Source organism: Homo sapiens, chromosome 22 (assembly GCF_000001405.40).
Source record: "Homo sapiens chromosome 22, GRCh38.p14 Primary Assembly".
Lineage (NCBI taxonomy): Eukaryota > Metazoa > Chordata > Mammalia > Primates > Hominidae > Homo > Homo sapiens.
Genome location: NC_000022.11, coordinates 38,373,260 through 38,387,564, shown reverse-complemented (window position 1 = coordinate 38,387,564; position 14,305 = coordinate 38,373,260). Strand labels below are relative to the sequence as shown.

Here is a 14,305-nt window from a genome sequence, read left to right as displayed (position 1 = left end):
CCCTTTTCCTTGTGTAAAGAGCCTGAGGAAATTTTCTTCAGCCTTCATCGTGAGAACCTGGTGGGGTTTCTGGAAGTAAAATTCATGAAAGTATAAGGGGCCCCCAAGACGGGACTCCAACAAGTTTTTAACTCTCAAGCTAGTCCACACTCAGCCACCAGTAAATTTATTGATTACCATTGAAGTGTTCCTACCAATTACTGGCTCTGTGGCTTCTGCTCTCAGGTAAACTGTGATTTTCTATAGTCACCCATCTCTCTAGTTTTTGAGGAGGTGGTTTCCCTGTGACCTCTATTCTCGGACAGATCTAAGAAAAGTTGTTGATTTTCAGTTTATCTTTTTTTCCGTTGTGAAGATGGGAGTGATGACTTCCAAGTTCTCTACGTGTTGGAGTAGGAACTGGAAGACCTAATTAACTTCTTAAGAAACGGTCAAACTGTTTTCCAAAGTGGATCTAGCACTTTACATTCCTGGCATTGTATAAGAGTTTCAGTTTCTATCTTTGTCAACACGCCATCTTTCTAATTTTAGACATTCTAATAGGTATCTAGTGGTTTCTTATTATAGTTTTAATCTGCATTTCTCTAATAGCTAGTGATGATGACCATTTTTTCATTTGCTTATTTGCCAGTTGCAAATCTTTATTAGTGAAGTATCTGTTCACATATTTTGCCCATTTTTTAAAAGTTGGGTTGTTTTCTTACAATTGAAGTTTATTTTTTCTTATACTCAAAATTTTAGTTGACACATAATAAATTGTACATATTTATGAGGTACAATGTGATGTTTCAGTACATTTTACATTGCATAATGATCAAATCATGGTAATTAGCATATCCATTGCCTTAAACATTTACCATGTCTTTGATGTAAGAATATTCAAAATCCTCTCTTCTAGCTAGAATATGAATGTATTTTAAATGTACAACTTTGTTTTCTCACAATCCTATAAAATGATAGCTTGAGTCAATGAGTTATCCCCCCAAGTCCTATCAACCTTGTCTATTTTAGTGAAATTTAATATTGTCTAGAAAACACTAAACAAACATAGTTATTCAGAGAGGATAACTGAGCCCTCTGGTTATTCTCTCTAACCCACAAAGGAAGCTGAACACTTGATGTAAACTTCTATATCAGAGTAAATAGTAAGAATCCCCTCCATTACATACAAAAGAAAAAATAACTGGAGAGTCTGCTCTGAGGTTATTATCCTGTGGTCTTTGGTTTTGGAACATTCTCCCCCACCCCATGCCCTTCTCCCTCATCTTTAATGAGTATCTGTATGTATGGCAGAACAGTATGGTTTTTTTTTTATTATTATACTTTAAGTTTTAGGGTACATGTGCACAATGTGCAGGTTAGTTACATATGTATACATGTGACGTGCTGGTGCGCTGCACCCACTAACTTGTCATCTAGCATTAGGTATATCTCCCAATGCTATCCCTCCCCCCTCCCCCCACCCCACAACAGTCCCCAGAGTGTGATGTTCCCCTTCCTGGGTCCATGTGTTCTCATTGTTCAATTCCCACCTATGAGTGAGAATATGCGGTGTTTGGTTTTTTGTTCTTGCGATAGTTTACTGAGAATGATGATTTCCAATTTCATCCATGTCCCTACAAAGGACATGAACTCATCATTTTTTATGGCTGCATAGTATTCCATGGTGTATATGTGCCACATTTTCTTAATCCAGTCTATCATTGTTGGACATTTGGGTTGGTTCCAAGTCTTTGCTATTGTGAATAGTGCCGCAATAAACATACGTGTGCATGTGTCTTTATAGCAGCATGATTTATAGTCCTTTGGGTATATACCCAGTAATGGGATGGCTGGGTCAAATGGTATTTCTAGTTCTAGATCCCTGAGGAATCGCCACACTGACTTCCACAATGGTTGAACTAGTTTACAGTCCCACCAACAGTGTAAAAGTGTTCCTATTTCTCCACATCCTCTCCAGCACCTGTTGTTTCCTGACTTTTTAATGATTGCCATTCTAACTGGTGTGAGGTGGTATGTCATTGTGGTTTTGATTTGCAGTCCTCTGATGGCCAGTGATGATGAGCATTTTTTCATGTGTCTTTTGGCTGCATAAATGTCTTCTTTTGAGAAGTGTCTGTTCATGTCCTTTGCTCACTTTTTGATGGGGTTGTTTGTTTTTTTCTTGTAAATTTGTTTGAGTTCATTGCAGATTCTGGATATTAGCCCTTTGTCAGATGAGTAGGTTGCGAAAATTTTCTCCCATTTTGTAGTTTGCCTGTTCACTCTGATGGTAGTTTCTTTTGCTGTGCAGAAGCTCTTTAGTTTAATTAGATCCCATTTGTCAATTTTGGCTTTTGTTGCCATTGCTTTTGGTGTTTTAGACATGAAGTCCTTGCCCATGCCTATGTCCTGAATGGTAATGCCTAGGTTTTCTTCTAGGGTTTTTATGGTTTTAGGTCTAACGTTTAAGTCTTTAATCCATCTTGAATTGATTTTTGTATAAGGCGTAAGGAAGGGATCCAGTTTCAGCTTTCTGCATATGGCTAGCCAGCTTTCCCAGCACCATTTATTAAATAGGGAATCCTTTCCCCATTTCTTGTTTTTCTCAGGTTTGTCAAAGATCAGATAGTTGTAGATATGCGGCATTATTTCTGAGGGCTCTGTTGTGTTCCATTGATCTATATCTCTGTTTCGGTACCAGTACCATGCTGTTTTGGTTACTGTAGCCTCGTAGTATAGTTTGAAGTCAGGTAGTGTGATGCCTCCAGCTTTGTTCTTTTGGCTTAGGATTGACTTGGCGATGTGGGCTCTTTTTTGGTTCCATATGAACTTTAGTTTTTTCCAATTCTGTGAAGAAAGTCATTGGTAGCTTGATGGGGATGGCATTGAATCTGTAAATTACCTTGGGCAGTATGGCCATTTTCACGATATTGATTCTTCCTACCCATGAGCATGGAATGTTCTTCCATTTGTTTGTATCCTTTTTTATTTCCTTGAGCAGTGGTTTGTAGTTCTCCTTGAAGAGGTCCTTCACATCCCTTGTAAGTTGGATTCCTAGGTATTTTATTCTCTTTGAAGCAATTGTGAATGGGAGTTCACTCATGATTTGGCTCTCTGTTTGTCTGTTGTTGGTGTATAAGAATGCTTGTGATTTTTGTACATTGATTTTGTATCCTGAGACTTTGCTGAAGTTGCTTATCAGCTTAAGGAGATTTTGGGCTGAGACAATGGTGTTTTCTAGATATACAATCATGTCGTCTGCAAACAGGGACAATTTGACTTCCTCTTTTCCTAATTGAATACCCTTTATTTCCTTCTCCTGCCTAATTGCCCTGGCCAGAACTTCCAACACTATGTTGAATAGGAGTGGTGAGAGAGGGCATCCCTGTCTTGTGCCTGTTTTCAAAGGGAATGCTTCCAGTTTTTGCCCATTCAGTATGATATTGGCTGTGGGTTTGTCATAGATAGCTCTTATTATTTTGAGATACAAATGAATTTAAAGGAGCAACCAAGGAGGCACCTGCGAAAGAAAGGTGAGTAATAGACAGTTAAATAAAGTCACCCATCAGCATAAGTGTGCATAGAACTATACACACACACCGGCACATGAGCAAATATATCCATCAATCCATCCATTCATCCGTCTATCCATCCACGCTTCTCTTCACCACGCAAACTACACAAACTAATCCATGCACAGGATGGAAACCTAAAATAAGGAGAAAGGAAACTGATGGACATTTGTGGAATTTACTCTCAGGAGCCTGCATGGCCATATAGATTTTTTTTTTTTTTTAACAGAGTTTCCAACTCGTCTCATTGTAGCATTTTTTTGTAACTTTGCATCCTTCTTTGATGAAATTGTATAAAGAGGAGCAAGTAATAGGAGAGTTGCTTCTTCCTGTTAGTGTATTTGTCACTCTTAGTTTCTAGTAAGCAGTTTTTTTATGGGACTCAGATTTCCTGAGTTGAGACCCTGCCAGATTGGCCCAAGGCAGGAGGGAATCCTATTTGCAACACAGAGGAGATAGTGGCCAACAAGGAGCAGTGAAGCTTTGGGCTGAAAAGAACAGAACTAATGGAATGTGGACTTGTCCCTCACCCTCCAGAGCTCGGTCCACATGTGAGGCTGGTGCCCAGACCCAACCCCAAACCCACCACCTCACAGGATGCAGCGCTTTCTTAGGCCTGCAGCTATGCAGCTACTTTCCTATGTCTCATGGACAGCAAAGACTAGCATGATGGGTGAAGGATGGAGGTGACGGAGGCATTCAGGAAGTCAGCCCTTAATGGGATTAGCAGGCTGACCACCTGCACAGTGGAGTTGAATTGAAAAGAAATTTACCCTCAAAAGGCTGTCACACATTGGTCAGCTTCAGTGGTAGAGAATTCAGTTAAATCTTGAGTCACTGAGTCTTGGATAGATGTAAAATGTGTGCTACAATTATATAAAGTATGATGTGTAGGGAAAATGGCATGGCAGATTCTAACTAACCAAATGCACCTGAATTCTGTAAGGTTCAAGCAGTTTACATGTTGAAAGTTAATTGGAACTGTTTTTCACTGAAAACGTTAAGTCTGGGAGTTACATGTTGTCTTACTATGTATGTTTTAAGTTCTTCGGCACTGCCGTGTGTGTGAATTGAAAGAGTGTCTTCTGGTAGACTGGCCAATGCAACATATGAACAGAAATACAATTACACATGTATAGATGTATATATGGACACACATATACATGCATTCATACCCACAACATGCAGAGAGATTGAGATTCGGGCTATTGACTCTCACGAGCATCCATGTGAATGAGGAGTTCCCTTGAGACTAGTTTTAGAGTCTTCTCAGGATGAGCTTTGTGAAGAATATTCTTTTGTTATTTCGATGGAGGCAGGAAAATGTGGAAGAACTCACAGAGGGAGGCTTTTTATGTTAGTGTTTGTCACTTTTTGTTTTTGTGGGAATGAGACTGTACTAGTAGTGTGGATCAAGGGGGAAGCAAATCCTGCTTGGAGCCAGAAGGAGATAGCAGTGGACAAAGAGCAGAGACTCCCAGTCAAAGAAGAGAACAGACATAATAGCCCTGGAAGTATTCCCCACCCTCCAGAGTTCTGCCACTATGTGAGGCTGACTGCCTGAGCCCATATCCATCATCACACGGGATGCAGCCCTTGCTTGATGTCTTCTGCTACTTGGCCCTAACTCTTGGGCAGGAAAGACAACTAGGATTGGTGAAAAGTGAGGAGGTGATTGGAGGTGAATGAGAATGAGAAATTCAGATGGGATTATAAGAAGGAGAACTTACAAACTAAAGTTGAACTGGAATTAAATCCCCTCAAAAAAGGCTGTTACACATTGAGGTGAAGATACAGCCACCTCACCTACATGCATCGCCATGTTCACAGCCTAAGATATTCACTGTTGGCGTATAAAACCTCGTTTCTAATAAAAAAAACTCATACCAGGTCAACTTAGTGATAAAAGTACATGTGAATATTTAAAGTGTAACCAGAGAATAACTCATAGAGTAACTGTAGCTATTTGGTACAAAACATTTAGAATTAGGCATCGTGTCTGTTTCTGACCATATTTGTTCTTTAGTCCCCATCCAAATGAGCTGACGGCAGTCAGCATTGATGGAGGCATCAAGGACATGTGAGTTATAAAAGATGTACACACAAACACACACACAAACATAACTATGACAGAGAGAGACAGACAGAGAGAGAGATTGAGATTAGTGGGATTTAGTCTGAGGAGTGTCCACAGCAATACAGAGTGTCTGACACAGTTTATTTATCTTCTCACTGTAGCAGGTATAGGTAAACTTCCACATTTTTCCAGTCGTTTTGGAAAAAAGAGAAACAGACTACAGAGGGAGGCTTCTGTCTGTTACTGTCTTGTCACCCTTAGTAAGTAGCAGGCAAATACCTTAGAAACTCAGATTTCTGTGTATGAGACACACCAGAGTGGGCCGAGGGAAGAGAGAATCCTGTTTGGAGTGAGGAGGAGGCAGGAGTACTTGGGGAACTGTGAAGCCTTCAGCAGAAAGCAACAGAGCTAAGAGCCTTGGAGGTGTTCTCCACCCTCCAGAACTCTGCCACCACGGAGGCTGGTGCTCTAAACCTCAAATCACCATCCTATTGGATTGTGCCCCTGTGTCAAACCTCTAGTTACCTGACCCTTTTTGTGGGACATGAGAAACCACCATGCTGGGTGAGCATAAGGAGCTAATGGAGGGCCTTTTAAGCAGGACATTGAATGGAATAAGAGGGCTGACTACCTACAAATTGGAATTGAGTTTGAAATAACTGCCACCACAAAGTCTGTCACACATTGAGACTGAGGTCATAATAAAGAGGTTTACTTAAATAGGGAAGCATTACTATTTTCCCCCGCCTAAGATTTTGGTTGTCGCCATATAAATCCTCATTTCTAATAAAGAGAAAAAGACATTCCAGGTTCCAATAGTGCTATACACATGAATAGTCAGAAATTAATTGGTTTCTGTCTAGAATAATGAAAAGTAATTTTTCCAAAATATAAATTCAGAATTAAGTCTCCTCTCTGACTGTTTTCTCTTATCATCCGCTAGTCCACAGACAAACGAATTTAAAGGAGCAACCGAGGAGGCACCTGCGAAAGAAAGGTGAGTAATAAATAAAGTCACCCATCAGCATAAGTGTGCGTAGAACTATACACACACACAGGCACATGAGCAAATATATCCATCCATCCGTCCGTCCACACTTCTCTTCAACACACGTACACAAACTAATCCATGCACATGATGGAAACATAGACCAAAGAGAAAGGAGACTGATGGACATTTGTGGAATTTATTCTCAGGAGCCTGCATGGCCATAGAGATTTTTTTTTTTTTTTTTAACAGAGTTTCCAATTCGTCTCATTGTAGCATTTGTTAGTAACTTTGCATCCTTCTTTGGTGGAGTTGTATAAAAAGGAGCTGGTCATAGGAGAGTTGCCTCTTCCTGTTAGTGTATTTGCCTCCCTCAGTTCCTACTAAGCAGTTTTTTTATGGGACTCAGATTTCTTACAGAAATTAATTGGTTTCTGTCTAGAGTAATAAAAGCTAATTTTCCAAAAAAGTAAATTTAGAATCGTGTCTCCTATCTGACTGTATTCTTTTATCATCCTCTAGCCCACACACAGGTGAATTTAAAGGAGCAGCCCTGGTGTCACCTATCAGTAAAAGGTGAGTTATAAATACATGAAGACACACGTATGCATAAGAGTGCATAGAGCTATACACACACCAAGCACATACACAAATATATCCATCCATCTTCATCCATACACACTTTTGTCAACACATTTACACAAACCCATGCACAAAATGGAAACACAAAACACGGAGACAGATGGACATTTGTGGAATTTACTCTCAGGAGCCTGCATGGCCATACAGAGTGTTTTTTAACAGGGTTTCCAATTCTCATTGTAGCGTTTGTAGATAACTTTGCATCCTTTTTTGATGGAGTTGTATAAGGTCAGTTCGTAGGAGAGCTGCTTCTTCCTGTTAGTGTATTTGTCACCATCAATTTCTAGTAGGCAATTTTTTAAGGGATTCAGGTTTCCTGAGTTTGAGACCCTACCATAGTGTTCCAAGAAAGGAGAGAATCCTATTTGCAACATGGAGGAGATAGCAGCCAATAAGGAGTAGTGAAGCCCTGGGAAAAAAAGAACAGAGCTAATGGAACGTGGACTTGTCCCACACTCTTGAGAGCTCTGTCCACATGTGAGGTTGGTGCCTAGACCCAACCCAAACCCATCACCTCACTGGATGCCACTTTCCTCAGGTGTGCGGGTACTTCACTGTGTCTCATGGGCAGGAGAGACTAGCATGATCAGTGAAAGGAAGGAGGTGGTGGAGGGTTTTCCCAGTCATGTGAAAACCTCTCCTGGAAATAAATCATAAAGTTGTAAGTAATATGGAAAACCTGATTCAAGTTAATTATAGTGTAATGCTCAAGAAAACTTGCAAAATGAATGAGATTTTACAGAAGGAATAAAAGGATTGTGTTTAATCAGTGGCTGATTAAGGAAACATCTAGGTGAGAATTCTGTAGTTACTCATTAAGCAATAGCATGTGAGTTTTGTATGTAGTATTGATTTTTAAGCCAATAAATAAATTTTTAAAAGAATTTATTTTATAGGATGTTGGAGGCATGGGCAAATTAAAATGTATTTCTATTATTATTATTATTTGAGATGAAGTCTCGCTGTTGCCCAAGCTGGAGTGCAGTGGTGCAATCTCGGTTCACTGTGACCTCCATCTCCCGGGTTCAAGCGATTTTCCTGCCTCAGCCTCCTGAGTAGCTGGGACTGCAGTCACGTGCCACCATGCCAGACTAATTTTTTGTATTTTTGGTAGGGGCGGGGTTTCACTATATTGGCCAGGCTGGTCTTGAACTCCTGCCCTCGTGATCCACCTGCCTCAGCCTCTCAAACTGCTGGGTTTACAGTCATGAGCCACAGCGCCTGGCTAAAATGTATTTCTAATATGTACATAGGTTTAATTTATATATAATTTAATTAATCTCTGATTAACTGACCATTGATAAATGAGTCTCTGTTAATTGTTGGACTTCACTTACTGGGCTTATGTGGTAGGATTTGCGTACCCTCACTTATTACATATGTATGTATTTCATATTTATGGAAAATCTACTCCTTTTGGTGCAAAAAATGTATTTGCTAATAGTGTCAAAAAAGAGAAATTCATTATATGTCTATGTACCTTTTTACTCCATCAGCACTGCCTTCAGTGAAATGACAACAGTAACACATGAACGAACATTCCACAAAATTTGAGGTTTAAGTAAATAGAAAGCTAGATGTAAACACACACATAGACACACACAAAAGTAAATACACACATAGACACACACAAAAGTAAATACACACATAGACACACACAAAAGTATACATGTAGAAAAGAGAGATTCAGATTTGGGAAGTTCATTGTATGGAGCATCCATAACAATACAGAGTGTTTTAGACACTGTTTTCTAAAGTCTTATTACTGTAGTATCTGCAGGTACCTTTCTTTCTTTGATCTAGTTGGATAAAAGAGGAATAGGTCTTAAGAGGAATGCTTCTTATTCCTATTCCATTGGTCACCCTTATTTAGCAGCACCCTGAAACCTTAGGAAAATATGAGAATGTGTGTATTGTATGACGCTCTACTAGAGTGAGCCAAAAGAGGCAACAGTCCTATTTGGTGCAAGGAGGAGGTAACAGTGGGCAGGGAGCTGAGGAGCTCTCAACAGAAAAGAACAAAGCTAATAGACCCCTGGTCTCTTCGTCTGTTACCACATGAGGCTACTGCCCCAAAGGTAAACCCACCCTCAGATTGTATGGAGGCCCTGCCTTGGGTCTGTAGTTACTTAACCCTATCTGAGGGGCAGGAAAGACATCCATGATTGGTGAAGAGTTACTAGTGGTATTTGAACGTGAGAAGGCAGAAAATTACAAGGGCAAGCAAGGTGGGTGTTTACAAACTGAAGTTGATTTTATGTAAATTTTGCCAGAAACAGTAACTTGGGGATTAGGTTTAGGAGTAAAGAAATGTATATAAACTTGATTCATTAAGTTTTTTTCACAGGCTGAAAAATTTCATTACAAACATCTAAAACCTCATTTCCAGAGAAAAATTAAATACCATGTTTCAAATAAATAACTGATTAATGTCCATTTTTCAGGGTAACTAGATTATAAATTGTAGAATAATTATTGCTAATTTGTATCAGAAAATTAAGTCTAGGATAACATGTGGAGTCTTGCTATGTTCATTTTTAATCCTTTAGCTATTACCCCATTGAATTAAAAAGAGTAATGTGTGGTAGAGTCATCAATGATGGGCGAGATTTCAGAATACGGAGAGAAAGAAGAGAGGCATATATTAAGATTGGTAAAATTCACTCACAAATGAAGTAATAAAGAACTGCACTTAAATTGTGATTCATTAGATTGTTTGTTAAGGCCCAAGAGCACCTTTACATAATATAAGGTTTTCTTCTAGGAAAAAATGATATATTAATAGTAGATTCCAAATCATTGACATATACATTTTCAGAGTTCAGCCAGTTTATAAATGTAGAGCAATTGTACATAATTTCAACCAGAAAAGTATGTCTCTGAAGTCACTTGACCTGATGTGTACATTTTTAATCGTTAGCACTGGCCCGGATAAAATGGCATCAGTAGTCTTTCGCTAATTTGATATATCTTTGATATAACTCACCTTTCAATGGTGGTGTCATTGAAAACTACTGATGTTATTAATTTGGGTCAGTGCTAAAGGATATATCCACACACACACAGACATATAACACGTATATATGTGTGTGTGTATATATATACACAGATATATCTTTTAGCTATATATGTAGTATACATAGATATATAAATATGTATTTGTGTGTATATATACACATATCTATATACATATCTATATACATGTCTACATATGTGCATATTTAAATGTGTGTATATATATCTATATATAGATATATTCTTTAGCACTGACCCAAATTAATAACATCAGTAGTCATATATATATCCTTTAATATACATATGAGCATGTGCGTATATATATATATGTAAACATATGTATATATCCTTTAGCATATATATGTATATATACACATATATAGTTTATATATACATACATGTGTGTGTATATGCAGGTATATCTTGTTTTATTGTGCTTTACTTTATTGCCCCTCAGATGTTACTTTTTTGTAAACTGAAGGTTTGTAGCAACCCTACATTGAGCAAGTCTCCTGGTTTTATTTTTCCAACAGCGTGTTTTCACTTTGTGTCTCTGTCACATTTTAATAATTCTTGCAATATTCCAAACTTTTTATTATCATATCTGTTATGGTGATCTGTGATCAGTGATCTTTGATGTTACTATTGTAATTGTTTTGGGGCAACACGAACCATGTCCATATTAAGATGACAAGCCTAATCAATGACATGTTTGTTCTGACTGCTCCACTGACTAGCCATTCCCCCATCTCTCTCCTTCTCCTTGGGCCTCCCTATTCCCTGAGACACAACAATATTGAAAGTAGGCCATTTAATAAGCCTATGATGGTCTCTGAGTGTCCTAGTGAAAGGAAGAGTCACATGTCTCTCACTTTAAACCAAAAGCTAGAAATGATTGTGAGGAAGGCTAGACTTCTTGCACCAGTTCAGCCAAGTTGTGAATGTAAAACAAAAACAAAAACAAAAACAAAACAGAAAAGCCAAAAAACTTCTTGAAGAAAATTAAGACTGCTACTCCAGTGAACATACAAATGTTGAGAAAGCAAAACAGTCTGATTGCTAATATGGAGAATGTTTTAGTGGTCTGGATAAAGGATCAAACCAGCCACAGCATTCCCTTAAGCCAAAGCCTAATCCAGGACAAGGCCCTCACTCCCTTTGATTCAATGAAGCCTGGGAGAGGTAAGGAAGCTGCAGAAGAAAAGCTTGAAGCTAAAAGTTTGGTTCATGAGGTTTAAGGAAAGAAGCCATCTCCATCACATAAAAGTGCAAGGTAAACAGCAAGTGCCGTTGCAGAAGCAGCAGCAAGTTATCCAGAAGATCTAGCTGAGATAATTGATGAAGGTGGCCAAACTAAACAACACATTTTCAATGTAGACAAGATAGCCTTTTATTGGAAGAAGATGCCATCTAGGACTTTCATATTTAGAGAGGAGAAGTCAACGCATGGTTTGACATCTTCAAAGCACAGGCCAATTCTCTTGTTAGGGGCTAATGAAGCTGGTGACTTTTAAGTTGAAGCCAACAATCATTGACTATTCTGAAAATCCTGGGGCCCTTACGAATTATGCTAAATCAAGCAAGATGGGTGACTAGAGATGCCTGGTGCTCATCTCCCCTACAAGAAAGAATTGAGGCAAGAAATACACATCTAAGATTTGATTAGAATATCAAAGGGATAGTCCTGGAGTGCAGCAAAGGAGTGGAGACACACCTGTGGTGACTGGAAGTTGCCACAGCATGGAAGCACTCAGCCTGTGCAGCCCCTTCTGCCCCATCTGGATTGAATTGGCCCAGAGACAGGAGAGACTTCTCATTGCAGGGTGAAGGTAGGCAGAAGATCCCTGTCACCCCACTGCCATCACAAACACAAAGTCTTTACAACAGGAGAATCTCACAGTCTTTGCAAGCCCTCAGGCCAGTTTGGAGTATTGCCAAGAATTGACACAGCTGCATGTCCTGGACTAGGAGTACAAGGTGAAGACTTCCCACCCCCAGAGACTTAAGCTGCAGCAGCACAGCACCATCTTGAGACCAGAGTCATCTCTTGAGTGTGCCCTCCTCTGGGGGCAGTAGCCACTGTGCCTCTCCAGCACTGGAGCTTTATCTTCAGTACACCAAGCCCACATGGGTGGGTTAAAGCCACAATCCCAGCTGTGTGGAGGTTGGTCCCAGGACTGGCTGTAACTCAAGTAATGCATGCAGGGAAATCAACCCCCACCACCACACTTCCAGACAGAGGAATAATCTGCAGTCCCATCCAGGGTAAATTCACTCTTAAGACAGCCAAACCACTACATGCCCTCTCCCAAGTGGGAGAGGCCCCTAAGCCTCTGAGCAGCTGATACACCCCCAGGTCAACAGAGTGACTATGAGCCCATGCTCAGGACCTGAGAAACAGCCTTGCAGGCCCCATCCACCACAGACATGCTCCTGGCCTGCCCAGGAGCCCTCTGCCTTTAATAAGGGCCTGAGAAACAGTCCCACAGGCTGCCCCCAGCAGGCACACCACCGAGTGGGCCTTGCACCTGTCTCTCAGACCTGAGAGACAAGCAGCTGTGTATGCCCAAGTCTCAGGGCCAAGAAACAACCCTGGGAGCTTACTCTGGCCAGCAGACTGTCAGGCCAGCTAAGCAGCCACATACCTATGTCCCAGCTTGAGGAACAGCCCTTTAGGCCACCCCCGACAGAAACACTCCCAGGCCAACTAAGCAGCTGTGCGACCTTGCATGAGCCTGAGAAATAGTCCTGTATCCATTCCCAGCAGATGCACCTCCAGACCAGCCAATCAGCCATGAATGTCCATGTCCTGGACCTAAGAAAGAGCTCCATGGGCTACTCCCAGAAGACATGCCCTTAGGCCAGCCGAGCAGCCTCGTGTCCACATCCTGGCTCATAGAAGCAGTCCCCTGGGCTTCCCCTGGCAGGCACCACCCAGGCCAGCTGAGCAGCAGTGTGCCCACATCCTGAGCTAGAATAGCTCTATGGACTACCCCCAGCAGACACACATCCGGGACAGCTGAGAAGTCATTTGACTGTATCCCAGGCCTGAGAAACCCCCTTCTTGGCCAGCCCTGGCAAAGATATTTTCAGTCCAGCTTAGCAGCTATGCAGCTATATATTTGGCCCATGAGTTTCCCCCCAGCAGACTGGCCACAGGCCAGATGAGCAGCTGTGTACCCACATACCAGGTATGGGAAACAGCCCTTCAGGCCACTCCTGGAGTGCATTCTTCCAGGCCAGGCAAACAGCTGTGTGCCTGCATCCTGGGCCTGAGAAACTGTCCTGCAAAGCACATCTGGCAGTCATGCCCTGGTTGAGCAGCTGCATCCCCATGCTCCTGGCTAGAGTGACAGCACCATGGCCAGCCGCATAAAGCCATACTCCAAGTTTTCTGACCCACTGTGTGCCTGCACACACCCCTACCCTGCGAAACAGCCCAGTGAGCCCACCCCTGGCAAGGCTGCACCACCATCACTACAAACTTCCTTAACCTAGGCCACTGAGTAACTTGCAAATGTTACTAGTGTGGATCACAGCTGAATAAACTACATGGAGACTACACTTACTGCATCCATGTAGAACCAAGGCCAGTATACCCCAATGAACAGACATCCAAGACCCATTCATACAAATAAATTCATACAAGTAAACCTACTCCATAAAATTGGAAAAGGTGACTTTTTCACCAGATGCATAGAAATCAATTTAGAAACACAGCAACCGTGAAAATGCAAGAAAACATGTCACCTACAAAGGGAAATAGTAATTATCCAGTAATAGAACCCAATCATAAACATATGAAATGGCAGAAAAAAGAATAATCTTAAGGAAACTCAGTGAGATGTAAGGTAATACAGATAGACAAGTCAATGAAATCAGGAAAACATGATTTGAAAGAGAAATTTACTAAAGATACAGATATCATAAAAATAACCAAACAGAAGCCCTAAGAGCTAAACAGTTCAATGGATGAAATGAAAAAATACAATCAATGGCTTTACAGACAAGAATAAGCAGAAGAAATAA

At 40.7% G+C, this 14,305-nt stretch overlaps 1 protein-coding gene and 1 pseudogene across 2 annotated transcripts in view; both read left to right on the top strand.

Annotated features, from left to right (window-relative positions):
- TPTEP2-CSNK1E (TPTEP2-CSNK1E readthrough) overlaps nucleotides 1–14,305 on the top strand; it is a 108,225-nt gene that overhangs the window by 11,351 nt on the left and 82,569 nt on the right. The window contains exons 2-3 of the mRNA NM_001289912.2: nucleotides 6,575–6,628; nucleotides 7,142–7,195. The gene's annotated coding sequence lies outside the window, so the exon portion shown is untranslated. The remainder of the gene's footprint in view (nucleotides 1–6,574; nucleotides 6,629–7,141; nucleotides 7,196–14,305) is intronic.
- TPTEP2 (TPTE pseudogene 2) overlaps nucleotides 1–14,305 on the top strand; it is a 54,262-nt pseudogene that overhangs the window by 11,362 nt on the left and 28,595 nt on the right. Inside the window, exons 2-3 of the transcript NR_002821.2 lie at nucleotides 6,575–6,628; nucleotides 7,142–7,195. The product of NR_002821.2 is annotated as a TPTE pseudogene 2 (transcript). The remainder of the gene's footprint in view (nucleotides 1–6,574; nucleotides 6,629–7,141; nucleotides 7,196–14,305) is intronic.